Source organism: Homo sapiens, chromosome 2, assembly GCF_000001405.40.
Source record: "Homo sapiens chromosome 2, GRCh38.p14 Primary Assembly".
NCBI classification, from domain to species: Eukaryota; Metazoa; Chordata; class Mammalia; order Primates; family Hominidae; genus Homo; species Homo sapiens.
In genome coordinates, this window is record NC_000002.12 from 120,165,043 (window position 1) to 120,186,313 (window position 21,271).

Genomic DNA, 21,271 nt, shown 5'->3' on the forward strand with positions numbered 1-21,271 from the left:
CACTTAGCATTGCCTCTCTGTCCTAAAATTTTACCACTTTGAATTTGTGTATCACTGTCTACAAATCACATGTCTCTATAAGCCTTTTATAATTCAACATCATATTAAATGAGAGAAAACATGGGGATAAAGCAGTTTCTTGAGACAATAAGGATATATTTAATTTTTTAAAAAGTTTTATAGAAAGATGAGAGCGTAAGAATGGCATTGAACATATCAATCATTATTACAGTCTGGAAGATACTGTATTAAGTATAGTTGTCCCTCAGTATCTGTGGGGGATTGGTTCCAGGACTCCCCTTGGATACCAAAATCCATGCATGCTTAAATCTCATATAAAATGGTGTAGTGTTTGCATATAACCTACACATATCCTCTAGTATATTTTAAATAATCTAGCTTACCTCTAATATCTAATGCAGTGTAAATGCTGGTAAACAGTTGTTATATTGTATTGTTTAGGAAATAATGACAAGAATAAAAGCCTGCACATGTTCAGTACAGACACAACCATCCTTTTTTTCCCTCCAAATATTTTCGATTTACAGTTGTTGAATCCACAGATGCACAACTCATGGATATGGAGGGCCAACTGAAACAGTTCCTTCCCTCCAGGGATGAGAGAGATAGAAATGACTAACTTTGCTGGACACGGTGGCTCACGCCTGTAATCCCAGCACTTTGGGAGGCCGAGGTGGGCAGATCACTTGAGGTCAGGAGTTCAAGACCAGCCTGGCCAACATGGTGAAACCCTGTCTCTACTGAAAATACAAAAATTAGCCGGGGGTGGTGGTGCACACCTGTAGCGCCAGCTACTCGGGAGGCTGAGGCAAGACAATTGCTGGAACCTGGGAGATGGAGCGTGCAGTGAGCCGAGATAGCACCATTGCACTCCAGTCTGGGCGACACAGTGAGACTCCGTCTCAAAAAAAAAAAAAAAAAAAAAAAAAAACAGAAATGACTAACTTTGTACCTTATGAGTGATATGACGAGAATTGCTGTAGGGGCTAGATGCCATCCTGAAGGCTTGGAAATACACATGATACTGAATGTTTGCATAGATCATTAATTCTCAAATTTTTGTGTATATCAGAATCCCTTGGAGGGGACGTTAACACACAAGATTGCTGGGCCCCACCTCCAAGTTTCTAATTTTGGTATATCTTGGGTGGGGTCTGAAAAGTTGTGTTTCTAACATGTTCCCAGGTGGTGCAGATGTGGTCTGGGAACCACCCGTTGGGAATGACCAGCTTAGATTAATAAACAAAGACTTTACCAAGGATAAGAATTAACTGCAAGTGTGGAAAAGTCTGTCAAACTATTTTTTGTTTACTATTATTTATGATATTTTTTCTCTCTTATTTCCTGCTGTTAACATGCATCTAAAAAGTATTGGTAGGAAAGTCAGATTTTGTGGGTTTTTTTTTTTTGAGATGGAGTCTTGCTTTTTTGCCAGGAGTAGCGTGATCTCAGCTCACTGCAACCTCCGCCTCCAAGCGATTCTCCTGCCTTGGCCTCCCGAGTAGCTGGGAGTACAGGCGCATGCCACCATGCCCAGCTAATTTTTGTATTTTTAGTAGAGGCAGGGTTTCACCATGTTGGCCAGGATGGTCTTGATCTCTTGACCTCATGATCTGCCCACCTCGCCCTCTCAAAATGCTGGGGTTACAGGCGTGCGCCACTGCGCCCAGCCTGTGTTTTTATTCTTTTGGTGGTTATCTAATTTACTAATACCTGGACTTACATTAGTTTTTTCTTATGAGTATGTAAGGCCACCAATGCAAGGACTAGTCTAAATTACTAGTAAAATGGGTGGGTTTCCTTAGTTTATAATTCTACACATAGATGACCTATAATAGAAAGTTAAACATATAAAAATAATGTATCAAAGGCCCTGTGAACCAGGAGCAATATGGGTGTTTTTATTGCGCTTTCTTCATGCATACATGATAATTAGAGAATGATCTGTATCTAAACAGATTATTTTTCTGTGTACTTTCTTGTTGCTCTTTATTTGGATTAGTCACAATCCATTGTTCAGGCTGCTACCAAGAAGGCTATCATTATTTGTAATTAATTAACTGAAATTTCAGAAAATAAAATGTTAAACTGAATACTGGGTGTGAGGTAGGGGCAGTCCTATTAAGTGAACTGAAAGTAGTAATAGATTCTTGAATGGTAAATTTTTAGATAAGAGATTCTCAAAATTATGACACTTTCTTAAGTGGTGAGGGATAGCATCTGTGTTGTATAACAGAAAAGGGTCTTGGATTTAGAAGTCCATGTCAGCTCAAGGAACACCATTAAGAATTAAGAATTGCCCTCCTAGAATGGATTTCATAATAGATGTAAGTAAGTATTATAAGTATGAAAATAAGTCAGTCTTTCCAAAAAGTAAATACATACATATAAAATTATTTCAGGTGTCTTCCACATCCATGATCACACCCCGGTGGATTGTTCCGGTAAGTTCATGTTATTTGTGATTTTTCTTCTGGCTACCCTTTCAGGGTAAGGCCTAAAGGATTACTAGGTTCTTTGTTTTTCCTTAAAAACATGAGGGTTGTTATCAAAGCCTTGTTAACTGAACTTAACTTAATGGCTTCAAGCTAGTGGCTTACCCTTTCTGGTTGTAAATGTTTGTCAGGATGCTGGCAGAAACAAAAGTAAAAGTCTCAGATGAAGAATAGTTAAGAAAAACAAAACAAACAGTCATAATTATCAAAACCATCTTCGTTAATCTCATAGTCATTAGTGAAGCTTGATTTGGAGCTGAAGTGCTGACCAGGCAGGTATTGTTACCCTGTATTTAGTTGTGTGTGTATCTCCCACAGCAGAGTGGTGCCATGTCTAATGGACTTGCGGGATGTGAAATGCTTTTGACAGGGAAGGAGGGACATGGTAATAAAGATGGAATCTCACTGATCTCTCCCCCAGCGCCATTCTTGGTAGATGCTGTGACCAGGTGAGAAAATTATTTCTCATTTGCAGTTCTTAGGCATCTGTTAGGAAGAAAAAAATAATAAAACTTATTATCTCTAAAGCAGCAATGTCAATTCTTCCCTAACTGAACTATATTGAAATGGGGCAAATCTTTTTTCTGTTTGTTATTTAGTGTAGTGGCTTTTTCTTGTCAGTAGCAATTTTCTACAAAACTGTATTAGCGTTTCTTTATCAAGTCTTTGCTAAAGATGTTAACAGGCTTATCTTTGTAATAGTTGTTTTAAAGTCAATTTGTATTGTTTCCCTTTACGCTTTACTATTTATTATGATTATGCCTACTGTAATAGTGATGAATGATGGTGCCCGTCAACACAGGTGAAGAGGTGCAGTATAAGTGGGTAAGTTAGGATACTCCTAGGGTGAGAGCCCTGAGATGCCTTTACCAATACATGTTGTGAGCTCATTTCAAGGCGTTGCTTGCTACAGACAGAAACTAGACTCAAAAACTAGAGCTTTTTGTTCAGCATCTGGTTCTTCAACTTTTGATTTGCTAGAACCATAACTGCACCTGTTTTACAAAAGATTTAGAATTGCCTTCACTCCTACCTCAGACCTTTTTTCTGAATATATCCCACATTTCACATATCCTCCTTGAAAATGTGGGTCGGTTGAAATACATGCTTTCCTAATTAGAGAAAGGTAGGATGAATTATTAGAGATCATTAACTTGAAAGAAATTCAGTTTAATTTCAAAATTGTCTCCACAGTGTTCAAAGTAGCATATTACTCAGCAAACAAACACTTATTGAATGTCTGTGATGTACCAGGCATTGACTGATATCTGACACTAAAGATAACAGTGAACAAGACAGATGAGAGACCTACATTTGGGAAGCTTACATCTAGTAAAAGAGTGCTTTATACAAATGTAATGGATTATTTTTCTAAGCATTTGTATGCCTAATAATGATCACTGTAAAAATAGAGCTGCACACAGAGAACCCGACGGTAATGCTTTGTAATTGAATTTACACAATAAAATGTGAGCTCTTAAGGACTTTCACATTAAAAATTACAGATGAAAGCAGAGCTTATCTCTTTCTTCCTAGAACTCATGGAAAGGAGTAATAAAGGGCTTAAAGACATAAAAATTACAAATAAACCAATGGAACAGAATAGAGTCTGGAAACAAACTCATATGTAATACAGTTTTCTGGTTTATGAAAAAAATGATGATGCAATGCTGTAAGGAAAGAATGGTCTTTCTTTTAGTAAATCAGCTGGACAGATTAGTTGTCCCTGTGGGGAAAAAATAATAATCTTGACCCAACTCCATACCATTCACAAAAATCCATTCTGGATGGATTGCAGATCTAAATATGAAACATCAGATAATAAACTTATAGAAGAAAACATGAGTGAACTTACTTGTGACCTTAGAATAGACAAAGATCTTTTAAACAGCTCACAAGGAGCTTTAGTCTTACAGGAAAAAAATCACTTGGATTATATCAAGAAATTTTGTTCATCAAAAAATGTAATTTCAAGATATTATGGAAGGGGAAGCCACAGAATAGGAGAAAACATTTGTTCTCCATCCCTCCTTCTGTCTCTCTCTCCCTCTCTCACCCCCTTCCCTTCTCCTTCCTCCGCAACCTCAGTCTTAACTTTGTATGGCAAAGGACCCACTCATATCTAGAATTTATAAAGAGTTCCTCCAAATAAGTAAGCTAAAGATGATAGCATAATAGAAAAATGGGCAAAAAGCTTGAATAGGCAGTTCACAAACCAATATCCAAATGGCCAGTAAGCATTCTAGACAGTGTGCAACTTGATTAGTCCGTGGGGAATGTAAATTCAAACTACCATGTCACAGTGCTACATTATCACCAGAATGGCTAAAATGAAAGACACATAGTACCAAGTTTTGGTGAAGATATGGGGCAACTGAAACTCTGTAAATTGGAGTAACCACATTGGAAATAGGTTTGGCAACATCTACTAAAGCTGAACATATTCAGTGATTCTATTTTTATATAAATACCCAATGGAACTGTGAATATATGTCCATCAAAAGACATGTACAAGAATTTTTATAGCACCTATATTCATAATAGTCCAAACTGAAAACCTTCCAACTGCACATTAGCAGTTGACTAGATAAATATTAGAAAAGAGCAGTGAAAATTAATAACTACAACTAAAATGTAGCAGTATAGATGAATCACATAAACATAATTGTATTAATTGTCTACTTCTGTGCAACAACTTACCACAAAACTTAGCAGCTTCAAACAATACACACTTATAATCTCATTTTCTGTGGCTCAGGAATCTGGATGTAGCTGAGCTGGGTTCTCTGCTTCAGGGTCTCTCACAGGCTACAGTCAAATATTGGCAAAGGCCAGGTTTTCATCTGAAGGCTCAATGGAAGGAGAGGCACCAGCCAGAGCTCTTGGCAGGATTCAGGATCTGAAGACCTGTTAGACTAAGGAACTCAGTTCCTAGCTGGTGATTGCCAAGAAGCTGCCCTCAGTCCTTACCATGTGGGCCTCTCCAAAGTAGTTCCTTACTTTATTCTAGCATGCAAACTGAGAAAGCAGTAGAGTCTGCTAGCAAGACAGAAGTCACAATCTTGTATAGTCTAATCACAGAAATAACATCCTTTTACCTTTGCTATATTCTGTTGTTGGTTAAAGTAAGTCACAAGTCCTTTCCACACCCAAGGGCTAGAGATTACATAGGAGTGTGAACAGCTGGAGATGGAGATCTTTGGGGTTCATCTTGGAGTTTCTCCACTGTAATAAGGATAAACAAAATCAAGTTCAAACAGGAGCACAACTCTATAATGGTTACCCTTGATGTGCTAGTGAATAGAAGAGAGCCCAAAAGCAGCTTTGGGAGTGCTAGTAGTGTTCCGTTTCATATTCTACATGCTGATTACAGAGGTGTATTCAATTTGCAAAAAGTTGTTCAAGCTGTAAACTCATGCCTTATGTGCTTTAATATATAGATGTTATAGTAATTTTTAAAAATGATGACTGGGTCCCACCCATCTCCACAGATTTAGATTTACTTTGCAGCGTTCTCTGTGTGATACTGTGTTTCAAAGGCATCAAATCATGAGGACAAAGAACAGGAAAGGAGACATCAGCAATTAAGAGACCTCAACAAGTTTTGGGAAGCAGCTAAATGATAAGTGGTAACCAGTTTAGCAGAGTGGAGTAAACTAAAATCTAAGCCTGAATAGGGGAGGGAGTAGAAACAAAATAAAAAGCAAGCCAGTTCACACTGCAGAACCCTGAAAAGGCAACGAAATTGTAGGTACCAGATACTTGTGAAGATGGGGTACAAAGTGGAGCTGAGAATATGGGGATTGGTTGAAAGTATTTATGCCCATTTCACTCATCTGCCATCCCACTACCCTTGCCCATTTTAGCATAATTCTGAAGTTTTCCCTCGGGAGGAGCCAGGCCAGAGAGGCTCTGGATCTTGGAATTTCCATTTGGAGTAAGGCTCTAGACTGAACACGGGAAGACTAACTCAAAGTCCACACACTGAAGGGTGAAATTTCCAACGTTCCTTCTTTTCTCAGTTTCCTGAATGCTGTTAGCTAAGTATAAATGTCTGAGTTGAAAAAGAGGCTTATTCTCTGGAGAAGCCAACCAACCAAAGAGAAAAAGGCCTGCACATACATTTTTGGATCCTCTGATGAAATTGCCAGGAATCTGCCAAATAATCACCAGGGAGCCCATTCGTTGATGAGTTTTGCCCATATATACACAGGTCCCAGACACATTCCAGAGCTTTTCTTTGAAATACAAAGAGAGCTAACGATTGTCAGATATGTGAGGAAAGACCAGAACAGGTAAACTGAAAAACAAGGAAATAAAGGCAATGTGAATTTTGACAAATAGAAGTAGGAAAAAAAGGCAATGTAAATAACAAAAGAAAAGGTCACAAAATCATAGTATCTGAATTTAGAGCGAAGATACTGTATCCATGCAACAATAACAGGAAACTTAAAAAAAAAAAAAGGAAAACAAGCATTTTTAGAAATTATTAACTATATTAAAAATGAAATCCAAAGAGTGTGTAAAAGATAAAATTGAGACAATCTCCCAAAATGTGTAGAATAGAAAGATGAAAACTGGGAGAGAAAAGAAAATTGGAGGATTGGCCTAGGACGTCCTATATATGAATCATAGGAGATCTAGAAAGATTACAGTCAATGGAAGGAGGAAATTGTCAAAGAAAGGAATCAAGCGTTCTCAGAACAGAGGACTTGAGTTTCTAGATTAAAGAGGTCTGTTGAGTACCCAGCACAGAGAATGAAAATAGACTACACCAAGGAGCATCATGAATCTTTAGGAGGTCAAAGTTAAGAGAGGATGTAAGTCTCCAGCAAAGGGGAAAAACGGAGTACGTACAAAGGATTGGTAATCAGAATGGCAGCAGACTTTACTGACAGCTGGAGATATTGGAGCAGTGTGCTTTCTGAATTCTGGAGGGCAATTTCTCACCCAGAGTTTTCCCAAACTATCAGTGAATTCCCAAACTATCAGTGAAGTGTGAGATTAGAATACATTTTTAGACATACAGTTTCCCTAAAATATATACTTTCCATGTAGCCTTCCTCAGGAAGCTACTGGAAGATGTGTTCCATCTAAAGTGGAAGATATGTTCCTCTTTTTTATCCAAAAAAGAAGTCATGGGACCCAGGAGGCAGTAGAGAGGTGCAGGGATTTACCCAGAGAAAGGTGAAGGGAGGTTCCAAGATGGTAGCTGCCCAGTGGGTCTAGAAAGGATCCTGTCCAGATTCAAAAAGGAGGATATAGAGTTGCAGAAAGGATTTTGCCAAGAAAAACACAAACAGGCTCCCCACCCTCCAGTTTTTAAAAAATTATATTACATGTCTGAATGTACTGAGAAGAGATCCATGGTTTACCTGAGAGGTTAGGGATAGATGAGAGATTTGTATAGAAAACTGAGAAGTACTCGGGAGGCTGAGGCAAGGAGATCGCTTAAGACCGGGAGTTCAAGACCAGCTTGGGCAACATACTGAGACTTCGTTTCTAAAAAACAACAACAACAAACCCACTAAGCCATCACGACAACAAAAAAATGAGGCAGTTATTCAGTCCAGGGAAAATAAAAGTTACATAAAACATGAAATATACTGATAGTTGTGAAAATATTTACATAATTACAACAAACACTGAATTTTAACATCATCAAAATTGGTCATATAGCTGTGCTGAAAAGATAAGAAGGCAGGATTGTGGGGCTGGGGAGAGGGTGGAAGAAAGGTAAGCCTTCACAGTCCATAGGAGGAAGTCATTGTATAAACACCTCACCCAGAACAGTCAGAACTTTGGGGGGTCGTGAGGCAGAATCTCTGGAGACAGGTTTGTTTAAACATTGGCTGCTGGGCTCCACCCTCATAGTCTGATTCGGTATATCTGGGGTGGGGTCTAAGAATTTGCATTTCTCCCAAATTCTAGAGACCCCACTTTGAGAACCAGGGACACAGAAAAGTGAAGGAAAATACCAGGAAAAGAATCAGTTGAAAGTGTTTGTCCCTCAAAGTAGGAATAGAGAGTGGTACAGGTGACTCTGTTTCATTTATAAATCTTGTTACCACTTTCAACATTTTAAGTTATGTCCTTTGTATTATGTACTTTGATATCGTTTTACATCTTTAAACTTTTTTTAGAGACAGTGTCTCTCTCCATTACCTGGGCTGGAGTGCAGTGTCATGATCATAGCTGACTGCAACCTCCAATTCCTGGGCTAAAACAACCCTCCTGCCTCAGCTTCCTGAGTAGCTGGGCTACAGGCATATACCACCCTCACCTGGCTATTTTTGTTGTTGTTGTTGTAAATACGTCATCTCACTTTGTTGCCCAGACTGGTCCCGAACTCCTGGTCTCAGTGGATTCTCCCACCTCACTAAGTGCTGGGATTGCAGGCGTGCGCCACCTTACCCAGCGTGTTTTCAGTTTTCATGAAACCAAATCAGATGTCGTTACTTCCTTGCATCTAAACTCACGCAGTTCACTGACAGCAGAAATTCACGAGCCCTCATGCAGAGCCCATGAGGGCTTCTTTTTCACACGGCTCTAACAAAATAGATTAACTGGTAGGAACACAGACACGGCCATGTAGGAATATGTAAAGAAACACAGGGCTGGGTGCAGAGGCTCATGCCTGTAATCGCAGCACTTTGGGAGGCTGAGGAGGGCAGATGGCTTGAGCCCAGAAGTTTGAGACCAGCCTGGGCAACATAGTGAAACCCCATCTCTACAGAAAAATACAAAAATTAGCCAGGCATGTTGGCACAGGCCTATAGTCCCAGCTACTTCTACTTTTGGGAGGCTGAGGTGGAAGGATCATTTGAGCCTGGGATGTTGAAGCTGCATTGAGCCATGATTATGCCACTGCACTCCAGCCTGGGCGACAGAGCAAGACCCCGTCTCACAGAAAAAAAAAAAGGAGCAGCAGCAGCAGAGAACAGCCTGAGTGTGTTGCCCTTGAGCTCAGCACAGCACTGTTCTTGATACTCATACTAACCCTGACTCATTAAGAAATGGTTAAGTGTGTGTTTAACATATTTGCTAAGAAGGGGAAATTGTGCTGTCTTTATATTTTATTTCAAAATGAAATAAGCAGTGTTTATCCAGAAATTTCCCTTCTATGGAATATCTCATTGCCAGGTTAGGTGTTACTACATATTGACTTAGGTCTGTAATCTGCTGTACCCTCAAAATGCTCTGTGTGGCACTAATGGAGACATGAATGTCCTCCTCCAAACCCCAGGGGTTCCCTGAGTAACCCATTCTCTCTTCCTTTCAGCTCTGGTCCCATTTTGGCAGAAGAAGCTGTCCTGAAGCAGAAGTGTTTACTGACCACTGAGCTCTGAGGGCCTGTAGCTGGAATACGCATCTCTCCAGCATTCCGTCCTGGGATCCGTTTCAGCTAGAATATGTTGGATTCAGGAGCTTGTCCATTATTTGTAGGTAAAAAAAGCTGCACGTAGATTTGACTTCAACTCCGTAAAAAAGACAGCTGTATTTTCCGTCCAACTGGAATTGTTGAATCACACTGCATAGCTGCCCAAAAGAGAGTGTTTGGTCTTGAACTTTCTATACTTTTATAAATGTTACAAATTCCCGAAAGAAGGGAATTTCTTTTTCTGGGGTTTCCTTCAAACTCTTGGCTCCACCTAGCGGTTCTATTTGTTCATAACAACTTCATAACAAGCCTGCCTCTGGTAGTCAACAGCCTTTTGAAAGCTATTTCCATCTAGTATCAGGGTGAGAGCATCCTTGATCTGGCTGCCTGTTAGAGAAATTGCACTTTTCCTGACTTACCTAGAAATCAAGAATTTAGGAAATTAATGTGGACACTATAAAGGCAGACTTAGGGCCAACTTTTTTTTTTTTTTACAATTATTACAACACTAAAGAGAAGTTTAGAATATAGAGAGTTTTTAAATGTCTCCCATTCTTTTGATTTCTTACTGTACTGGCTATCTTAATATTTCAAGTTTACATCAAGATAAACCCTGAGAAGAACTACGGAGAAATCAAATAAAATCCTGTCATATTTTTTTCACCCTGCCTTTCCACAGGAAGCACTCACAGGCACCACACACGTATCATGTAACTTATCAGTGGGGTGGGTTACTGTTGAAGAGACCCTGGGGCATTTACCTCAGGCATCTGCACTCCTCCGAGCCCGGTGGAGAATGCAGGCTGCTGTAGTCTCAGGTAATGAAGGCACAGCACAGCAGTACTCCACATTGTTTCCTATTTGGACATAGACTTCATTTCCTTTCAGTATAAGCTGAATAAATTTAGAGCTTTCAAACTGGAAAAAAAAATGAAACAAAACAAATACACCAAGACCAAAATAGGCAATAGGAACAGGGGTGAAGGGATGTTGTTTCTTAAATACCTACCATGTATGAAGCTATACACAGCATATACCGAAAGAACCTGCATTGCACTAGGAATTCTGTGTTAGTTTAAAAGAGATCTCTAAAACTTCCCCATCCCTTTGGGCCTGTACAAAGAAATTCTGGATGTTAAAATAATATATACTCATCACAGAAAAATAAAGTATAGCAATGTCCATCTGTAATTCTAATACCCAGAAATAACGCTATTTAGCTTTATAATTTTCGAATGAACAAGGTAAACCTCGGTTGCCATGGGGAAGAAGGATGATGTGGAAACCATATTGGTAAAGTTGTTAATCCCTCGTTATGGAGAACTGATCTTAAGCTATACCTCCTGGAATTTGCTTTCTAGTTTTCTGTCCTGCAATATGTATATAATTAAGCACTAATTTGTACTGCTTAGCATAAAAGAACATCCAGTCTTAGATCCTTAAAACTTCATGGATTGGACTTTCCTGGGCTCCTTATAACATAATCGTGTGTCCAGGCAAACGCACACTAGTGTCTGACTGGAAAGCTCAGGAATTTTAATCTTGCACTGTTTCCCAGGGAGCTGTAGTGATTGGAACCCACGTTTGCACAAAACATTTTTGCAGAAGGAAAGTCAACACTTCTTGCTGGCTGCCTCCCCTTAGCCATTATGCTAAAAACAGCTTCTGAGTTTCACTGGTGGGGCTCTTGCCAGTTCTTAATTATAGGACATATTTTCTCAAAGCTGAAGGTGACACCTAGAACCAGGGGCTTGACCCAGGACATGATGGAATGAGCATCAAATTTTCAGTGTCTTGGCAACCGTAGATGTCCTACAGGGTTACCGTTGTGCTGCTCACCACAGAGCAGCTGAGGCATTATGCCTTGGAAGACCTAAATCTCCCATCCAGTTCAGGAGGTGACAACATCCTTATTTTAAACTTCCTAAAATTAGGAATTAGGTAGTTGGACATAGTCTGTGACCTTTATGTCGTTGGATACCTGTATTCTTGACAGTTAGAATATTGGTAGGGACTTTGTTAAAATTCACTTGAATTTCAAGCTCAGAGGAAACTTTGTCTCATGCCCTGACATGAAGTGGCAAACACGGAAGTTCATACTTGAATGCTGAATTGGCCCCGACAGATTAAATGCGTGTTGGGGATTGGTTTCCTGTCATAGCTGCTGCTGCTGCCATGCGCAGAGCTGCTGTAACAGCTCTTCCTGTTCTGCTCCCCTGAGAACAGTGTGGTGGGGAGAGGCAGGGCTGAGGTGGTCTACGAATGTGGCAGGTAGGGAAGGGGAGATGTCTGTCTCTTGAGAAGAGAGAGGCATGTGTGCCGGCATCCTTGATGGGTTCAAAGAGAAAGGTTGGAGATGATAGTGGGTGAGAAGCAGGCTGGTGAGACTGGGCTGAGGTTGGAGAAGGGGCAGCCGGGGGCACTGCTGAGGGTTTGCCGTGCACGCCTCGGACGGAGCACGGTGGGGTGGCGGGGAGCAGATAGTGCTGCCTCCCTGCGGGCAGACAGGAGAGGAACCTCAACTCAGTCCATTTCATAGCCCTGATAGGGGAAGTGGGAGTTGACAGGATGGTTTAAAATAAGACGTGAAGGTTTCAGTTACCTGCTCTAGACTTTGCCTGAGAACTTGTAAATTAATCAGTGAGACCTAATTTGTGACATGTCAGTAGCATCATCTTTTGACACACAGGAGGTCATGGTCATTTCATTCCTACTCTTCAGGAGACACTGCTGAACAGAGGAATGATTCTGTTCCTTGTGTGCTTACTTCCTTAACATTTATACATTGTTTTAAGAAAAAACTTTTAAAAATATTTCTTATAGTCTCCTAACATTTGTCTCTAGCCTTTGCCTTTGTACAATCACAGATATCCTATGGAGATTTAAGGATGAAAGCCCTGAGTTGTTCTTGGGTTCTTGGATCTGGACTACTTGTTATCTTATGCTTCTCACTTCTGGCTAAAACTTGCACCTCTTCTTCTCTTAGCTAAGCCCCAAAATGAAGATTTCCTTCAGAAGTCTTGTTAGCAGAATTATTTATCAGTCACAGAGAGAAAAATCTGCTATTTTTCTAAGTAAGAGTCTCGAGAAGCAGAGTTTTTGTCTTGTCATTGAGAGGAGTCAGCAGTCTTGTTCTGTAAAGGACCAGAGATGGTAAATACTGTCCCACTCAGCTCTGCTGGCGCAGTACAGCAGCAGCAGCCCCAGCACAGCTGTGTTCCTGCGGAGTCCCCTTTACAAAGCCGCTGACCCCTGATGTGAAACTTTGTAGAGCAGCAGAGTGGCTGCGTGAAACGGGAGGCTGGCAGGTCCTCAGATAGGTTCTGCAGTGTTACCTGTCACTTGGAGGCAGCCAACACTTCTGGACATTGCATCCTTATTCACACATGTGGCAGCTGAACGAGGTGCTGTTGTGGGTGTCTCAGCTCTGAGGGTCTTTGTGAGCTCCCACTGTTGTGGGTGTCTCAGCTCTGAGGGTCTTTGTGAGCTCCCACTGTTGTGGGTGTCTCAGCTCTGAGGGTCTTTGTGAGTTCCCACCAACTTTTAATTATTCATGCCCTTGACCATGTGGTTGCTTGGAGACCTGGGGTCTTCTGCAGACTGAAGAAGACACATTTCTAGATTATTTGTCCTTTTTATCCTCTCAAAAATTTAAACACTGTACCTCTTCAGTGGTCAGAAGAAAGTTGGAAACTTTTCCTACATATTAGGCGTTAGTATGAGGACATTTGTTTGAATTATAGAAATTTGCCCTGAGCTGAACTGGGTTGTGTTAACACATTGGTAGAGCTATGATTCCTTCCCAGTTCTAAGAGATACGATCTGTAAGTCCCTATGTCACCACATTGCTTGAGATGATCATTCAGTTACTTGTCAGGATTTCTCCTCTTCAGAGAGATTTTTTTTTATAGCACAGATTCCTTTGCCCCTTTTATCTCCTTATCTGGATATGATAAGTGGTTATGAGGGTCTCACTAACTATTTTGTGTTTACCTTTTATATGTGTAAAACTTTGCAGTAGCATTTAAAGTGTAATTTATTTTTCTATCAAGTGCACTATTCATTTAGTGTGTTCCAGTTTTATATGACTTGTATTAGAAACACTGCACTGAGTTGTTTGTACACTGAAATGAGAACTCTAGATGTAACTCTATTCAAATAAACCTTCGTGAGACATTCATGTTTTTGTGCACTGTTTCTGTTTCTTGGAACTGTGATTCCTACATGCTGACCTCAACAGAGTTAGACCAGATCCACTGTTGGTACAAACCTGAGGAAGTGAGCAGAAGCAGCCGCACTGTTTTTAGGTTGATTTCCATGTTTTTGTGGTGTAAATTTGGGAGTAGGGGCATTTTCAAAGGTTGAAAACCTCATTGGTCATCCCCAGCATATCCTGGAAGGCACGGTGGTCATTCCAAGGACAGCATGGTGCAGTATCACCACAGCTTTGGACATCGGATCTGGGCTCTACTGCTTAATACCTCAGGTTTTTTGTCTGAAATGGCACATGAAGTGTGTGTCACAGCGTGTGGTAGAGTATGCAGGTGTTGACTTCTCCTTCTCTTGGCGCCCACCAGTCCCCAGCCTTCTCTGGGTTTGCACTGCACCATCCAGCGAGGAACAGTGCCACCTGGGTTGGTTTCAGGACTTCTGCTGGGCAGAGTCATACTGCACCATATGGGTGTTGGCAAAGCTGAGAAAAGTTGGAAGTCTTCTCTTTCCCTCTCCCCTCTGTTTTCTGCCTGGGAGAGAGGCCCAGTTGGGCCCTGGAAACTAAGGAGCTTTTCTCTGCTTTTTGGAGATGTATGGAGAGGGGCTGGAACCCAGATGCAATCACCTGTACCAGGAGCTCTTCTAAGAGGAAGTTTTTGGCAATAAGTAATGAAAGCCACCAATAAGTAGCGAAAACAACTCACTGGAGAGATAAGGACTGACAGGAAGATGGAGGATGGGCAGCAGTGGAGGTGGAGGGAGTGTGGATGGTGTCTCCACAGGTGCTGCCTTTAGAGGGCACCCTGGCCAGGCTGTGGTTCCCCAGAAGGAAGGGGAATGGATACTGGGCTACCAAAATAACCAAAAAATAAACCCATTGTGTCACCCAGAATGGGCTTTTGTGGCCAGCACCAGGCCTGGAGGGGCTAAGAGGGTACAGATCTCAGGTCACTAAGGTTATTGTCAGGCCCAAGAAAAAGAACTCACCATTAGTTTGGTGGCAGGGTGGTGAGTCAGAGTGATCTGTCTCTGGCCCCATCCTTGTCCCAGCAGATGTTCAGCCCACTGTGCTTAGATTCCCAGGCTCGTCCTGAGGAGAGACCAGCGGGGTGGCAGAGCAGCCCCTCCCCCACAGCAGGGAACCCTCTGCAGCCCAGGCTGGCGTATCCTTCACACTTGAAGTGCACCAGTCAAGGATAACAGTCAGCACATGCTCTCAAGCTAGCAAATCATGATGTTAGGGCAGGAATTGATTTTCAAGATTACCAGTCCCAGCCCCTCAGTATGTAGATAAGGTCAAGAGAGGGACAGGAACTTGCCCTAGGTCACATGGCTAGGGATGGAAATTCAAGTCTGTGCATCCAGGACATCTTCCCTCAGCACTGCTTGTCTTGGCTCCCTAAACTAGACTTGCAGCAAATAGTAGTCTGAATCTGCTATGTCCCCAAGGCCCTTCCAACCTGCATCCAGAATTTCCACAGGGGAAGTCAATCTATTCAAATCCTCATGGCTCCAAGCAGTACCTCCCCAAAGGAGAAGAAAACCATAACATGGATCTGGAGGGAGCTTCTGCCATCCTTCAGGGTTCCCGAGGGCCTGAAATAGCCCTTCCTCTTGCCTGGGTTGTAGCCGATACCCTTTACCTTGGAATGATCTTTCCGTTTACCTTGTGCTGTCCCCTTAAGAGCTCTGAGTACCATTTAGGTGGTGAATTCATAGGTATTCACGGGAAAGCTGCACCATCTCCCTGGAAACTCTCACTTGGTTTGCTGCTGATTCTTAATCTTGTTCCAGGTTAGGAACTCTTGCAAATACGGAAGCATGGCAGCTTTGCATGCAATTTCATGTGCTTGGCCATGCATGGTGGCTCACACCTGTAATCCCAGCACTTTGGAGAAGCCAAGGTGGGTGGATTTTTTGAGCCCAGGAGTTTGAGACCAGTCTGGGCAACATGGTGAAACCCTGTCTCTACAAAAAAATACAAAAATTAGCCAGGCATGCTGGTGAGCACCTATAGTCCCAGCTATTCAGGAGGCTGGGAGGATCGCTTGAGTCCAGGAGGTTGGGGCTGCAGTGAGCTGTAATCCACTGTACTGAAGCCTGGGCAATGGAGTGAGACCCTGTTTCAAAAAAAAAAAAAATTTCATGTACTCATTGATCCCCCAGGGATTCTCAGGTTGGAAGCCCTGCTCAGTGGACTAACAATGGGAATGTCAGGCCAAGGAGCTGTTGGGATGGAGTGGGCAGAGAAACAGGCAGGCCTCTGGGGCAGCTGGCAACTCCTCTTAGCTTTGGTGAGTAATAGACGCTCAAGAAACGCATGTTCGGTGAAGCCTTCAAAACATACAAAGTTCTCTGCCTAAAAGATTAAAGCACACAACACTTTTAGGCCAGCCATTTTATATGAATTAGTACTGAATTACAACATACTACACCCTGTTGGAACTCCATCCACCAATCCCTCTGCCTTATCCTTGTAAAATGGGGATGATTCTAATACTTCCTCACAGTGTGGGAAGTTAAATGAGTTAATACTGCAGAGTGCTTACAAGTAAAAGTGCTAACAAATGTTTCCAGTGTGAGTTCTTGCCATTATTTATGGTGATGGTGGTCTGTTCTTAGCCAATCTTAATTGCTTTGCGTTCTTCCCACCCACATGGTGAATTACCATCACTGGAGAGATCCAGCCACCATTTCTGAGGGCCTGGTCTCAGCTGCAGGAGGGAAAGCACCCACAGAGCAGATTCCTGGTCACAACTTCTTGGGTCCACCTCACCTCCAGGACTCAGTTGCCTGCTCTGTTTGTACTCCAGGGCTCCATGGCAGCTGTCTCATAGTCTCCACTCTGTCCCTCTTCAGGGGCCCCTCATACTCTAAGCAAATGACCTCATGTCTACCTTGCAGATTAAAGCAGAAAGCATCAGGCAGGAGCACTCTCAGCAGCCCTTCCTGTGTCTGCACCCACGTTTCCTCCTCCCTCCCTGTTTAAATGGACGTGCTCATTCCACAGCTTGTGCCCCGGGTCCCTGACCATCTCCCTTCTAAGGGGACTTACTCTGTGGATCTTTTTCCTATCTCCTGTATCTTTATGCTATGCTTCCCCTAAACACCGTTTCACTATAAAATTGAAACCTTTCCAAATATTTCCCCCCTTAAGACAGGCAATAGAAAGTTCTCTTTCTCACAGCTCCCTCTGGTGTCCTCCATGTTCTCTCCTTCACAGCCACACTTCCTGAATGGGTTACCCGCTGTCCTGAGTACAGCCACAGTACTCAGGCCTTCTTGGCCTGGCCTCATGACAGCATTCCATGTCCTCTTTTCAACCACCCCTCTTTTCTTGGTTTATTGGTTAGGAGAGGGTAGATTACACTGTAGTCATGACCTAGAAAATCTCAGTGGCTTACAAGGGTCAACAACGTCATTTGCAGGGCCTACTGCAAAATGAAAATGCAGAGCCCTATTTAAAAATTACTGAGGATTTCAAGATGGTGACAGCAGAGCATTAAACCAAACCCAGGACCCTTCTCAGTGACCGACATCCACAGAACCAGCTCTGCTTACGATGAAGTTCATTTCTCATGCCACATTTCAATTGCAAGTGACAAGAGGGCTTTCTGCTCAAAGCCACGTAGAGACCCACGTCAAGAGACTTGACGTGTATTTATGATCTCAGAGACAAGGAACCACACTTGGGCTTGTCATATTTTTGCCTACAAGTGACACACATCACAGTTGCTTGCATTTTACTGGCCAGAACAAATCACTCAGGTGTGTCTGAGTTCAAAAGGTGGGCAGGGCACTGACTATTTGGTGAAGTAATATAGCATCCTACATGTGGTTTAACACCAACTTTTCCTGGTTATTCTGCCAGTCTGACCACTACTTGGTATCCTTTGTCTGACTTTCCTCTTCTGCCTGTTCCTTCAAAGCTAGGGACCCTCCTTCTCGGTCCCACCTGTTCTCATTCTCGGTCCCACCTGTTCTCATTCCCACACTCCTGAAGCTTCACATCCATCCATGTGCTGGTGCCTCCTAAATCCCTGTTACCCAGATCTCTGCCTGGATTCCCATTCCTACCTAGTTCCATTTGGATTTCACAAAAGCACCTTAGACTCAGTATATCTTAAGCCAAACTTAAAAGTCTTCTGCCAAAGCCCCCCTCCCCTCCACCTGCCAAAATTGCTACTTCTCAGTGGCCTGATCTCATTGAACTATCTGAACTGACTTTGATTTGTGTTTCTCCTCCCCTGTCTGATCAGTCTTCAAATCCCACTGAGTCTGTCTCTGAAATACCTCCTTATCTCTGCAGCTACATCCCTTGAGTAAGTCAGCGTCTGGCCTGAGCTACTGCAGTTACCTTCCCATTGGTCTCCCTGCACTCAGCCAGTCCAATCCATTTTCCGATCTATAGCCAGAAATAGGTCATGATCCTCCTCTGCTTGAATTCCCTCAGTGGCTTCCCATTGCCTTGAAAACAGAACCCAGACTCTCTATGGCTTCCACGGCATGTTCTACAGCTCTCCCTCATGACTGGGCCTTTCCTCATTCTGCCAAGAACTTGGTTCTCCAAGGTATTACCTCGAGGGTCCTTGTTTTGGGGTCAGGTCACATGTCACTTCTCCAGATATCCCTCTGAGCACCCCAATATCAGCCTGTCCCTCTTTGCAATTGTTACTTGTTTAACTGTCTTCCTCAGTCATATAAGCTCATCCATTGCAGCATCTGGGTACCCAGCACGCTGTCTGCCATGCAGTTGGTGCTCACATATTTGTCAAATGAATGCTGAATTGATTAAGCACTCACTATGTTCCTCTTTGTTTCCTACTAGGAACTTAATTTAGGTTTCCCCATTTGGTACTCTTTATCAAAACATGTTAGGTGCTTACAAAGTGCCAGCAAGTCTTGCTGCCAGTAGGTGTTGGACCAGGATTTGAACAGGTCTGTTTGACTCTAATGCCTGAGTTCAGCATTTCTCAAACATCAGGCATTCACACATAAGTGACCAATCATCCTGGTTTCCCCTGGGCTGAGAGGGTTCCTGGGACATGGGACTTTCAACACACACAAAAACAGGAATGTCCAGGGCATACCCGGGACCATTTGTCACTCTATTCACCACCGTCACAATCTTTGCCACATGTGTGTTAGTTACTTAATGTTCATATTTTTATATTTTTGCTTTTTTTTTTTTTGAGACAGAGTCTCACTCTGTCGCCCAGGCTGGAGTGCAGTGGCGTGATCTCTGCTCACTGCAAGCTCTGCCTCCTGGGTTCATGCCATTCTCCTGCCTCAGCCTCCTGAGTAGCTGGGACTACAGGCGCCTGCCACCATGCCTGGCTAATTATTTTTTGTATTTTTAGTGTAGACGGGGTTTCACCATGTTAGCTAGGATGGTCTCGATCTCCTGACCTCGTGATCCGCCTGTCTCAGCCTCCCAAAGTGCTGGGATTATAGGCATGAGCCACCGCGCCCAGCCCATATTTTTATATTTTATCAACTTCCTTTCACATAGCCTCATCCTAAAATGTAAATTACAGCTTTTAATGGGCTATTTGTATTTTTTCTAATATGCATGTAAAAACAATTATTAAAATGAAAAATGTTTCATCTGTATATCACATGAAACCATCTCAAACATCCCCAGGGGTTGGCTTGCCACACTCTGGGAAACCCTGGCCAACCCATGCACTGCCCCAGGCCCATGAACTGTTTTTCCTTCCGGCTTCTGAGCTCTCCTGCAGAAGCACTGTGCTAGCCCCTCCTATAGCTGGAGTGTCAGCACTGTGCCTGCTATGATACGTAGGTTAGCTCTTTCAGTGGCCACAGCCACTCCACAAAGATGGTTATCACAAAGACATAGATGAGCAACCTAAACCTGGGGAGGGGGGGACAGTTGGTAAGCTGCTTGTCTGGGGCAACATGGATGGTGCTTATCATATTCAGTATATAAACCTGGGTCAGCCATGGTCTATCTCAGGCAAGGCCAGAAGCATGGGCATAGCTTCTTGGGCAGGCCTGGTTGATTTGGGCTAGCCTTGGAACTCTTCATCTGTCTTTTTCTCAAATATGATCTACAGCTGTTGTCCTGAGCTCTTTGACCTCTGCCTTGACACTTCCCATCAACTGAAAACTGCCTGCATTCACACCAGCCCTCTCCGCCAGGTCCATTTCTGGGCCACTACAGAAGGTCCTGCTTCCACTGAACCCACTCAGATAACCTGCTTTGCAGCTCAGCATAAGAGTATGTGCACATGGCTTCACAGTATTCTGTGACTTCCTCTCCTGTGCAGGGCCGGGTCTAGGGTAAAATAATTGAGATGCCTGGAGCACAAGATGGAAGAGGCTTCCAAGACATGCTAAGATTTTGAGAGAACAATCCTGTCACTGGCTTTGAGATGCTTCAGTCTAGTTTCCAGAGGTTCAGGGAAACTGGGGGTCTGGGAGGCGAAACTTATTAGCATAATGAAATATATTTTTCCTTCATTTTGTTGACATTTGCACTGATAGCACAAAAACAATGCTGGGTAAAACTGGACACCTTCAACATACCAGAATCTCTGGGACACATTCAAAGCAGTGTGTAGAGGGAAATTTGTAGCACTAAATGCCCACAAGAGAAAGCAGGAAAGATCTAAAATTGACACCCTAACATCACAATTAAAAGAACTAGAAAAGCAAGAGCAAACACATTCAAAAGCTAGCAGAAGGCAAGAAATAACTAAGATCAGAGCAAAACTGAAGGAAATAGAGACACAAAAAACACTTCAAAAAATTAATGAATCCAGGAGCTGGTTTTTTGAAAAGATCAACAAAATTTATAGACCACTAGCAAGACTATTAAAGAAGAAAAGAGAAAAGAATCAAATAGATGCAATAAAAAATGAGAAAAGGGATATCACCACTGATCCCACAGAAATACAAACTACCATCAGAGAATACTATAAACACCTCTACGCAAATAAACTAGAAAATCTAGAAGAAATGGATAAATTCCTCGACACATACATCCTCCCAAGACTAAACCAGGAAGAAGTTGAATCTCTGAATAGACCAATAACAGGCTCTAAAATTGAGGCAATAATCAACAGCTTACCAACCAAAAAAAGTCCAGGACCAGATGGATTCACAGCTGAATTCTACCAGAGGTACAAAGAGGAGCTGA

General features: G+C 42.5%; 1 protein-coding gene and 1 long non-coding RNA gene across 10 annotated transcripts in view, besides 1 other annotated feature; one reads left to right on the forward strand and one right to left on the reverse strand.

Moving 5' to 3' along the window:
* EPB41L5 (erythrocyte membrane protein band 4.1 like 5) overlaps positions 1-14,077 on the forward strand; it is a 166,043-nt gene extending 151,966 nt beyond the window's left edge. For 4 of the 8 annotated variants that reach the window (XM_047445208.1, XM_006712651.2, XM_017004567.1 and 1 more), the window contains 3 exons: positions 2,424-2,465; positions 2,814-2,965; positions 9,799-14,077. In XM_047445208.1, the coding sequence (XP_047301164.1) occupies positions 2,424-2,465; positions 2,814-2,965; positions 9,799-9,865 (261 nt within the window). In that variant the 3' untranslated portion in view covers positions 9,866-14,077. The remainder of the gene's footprint in view (positions 1-2,423; positions 2,466-2,813; positions 2,966-9,798) is intronic. The other 4 variants (XM_047445210.1, NM_020909.4, NM_001330310.2 and 1 more) reach the window with 3 other exon arrangements.
* LOC105373582 (uncharacterized) lies at positions 136-9,842 on the reverse strand. Of its 2 annotated transcripts, XR_923257.4 has the most exons (3): positions 7,892-8,706; positions 5,615-5,741; positions 136-3,002 (listed from the first exon to the last, which is right to left on the reverse strand). It is a non-coding gene; the product is annotated as an uncharacterized LOC105373582 (long non-coding RNA). The 2 variants fall into 2 exon arrangements; XR_007087216.1 differs by having other exon boundaries at positions 5,615-9,842.
* Positions 12,092-12,191: an enhancer, noted in NCBI's record as "active region_16455". NCBI's record gives its function as "activates an Ori minimal core promoter by ATAC-STARR-seq in GM12878 lymphoblastoid cells {active_cell/tissue: GM12878}" and the evidence as "EXISTENCE:reporter gene assay evidence [ECO:0000049][PMID:35858748]".
* Positions 14,078-21,271: the final 7,194 nt, after the last annotated feature.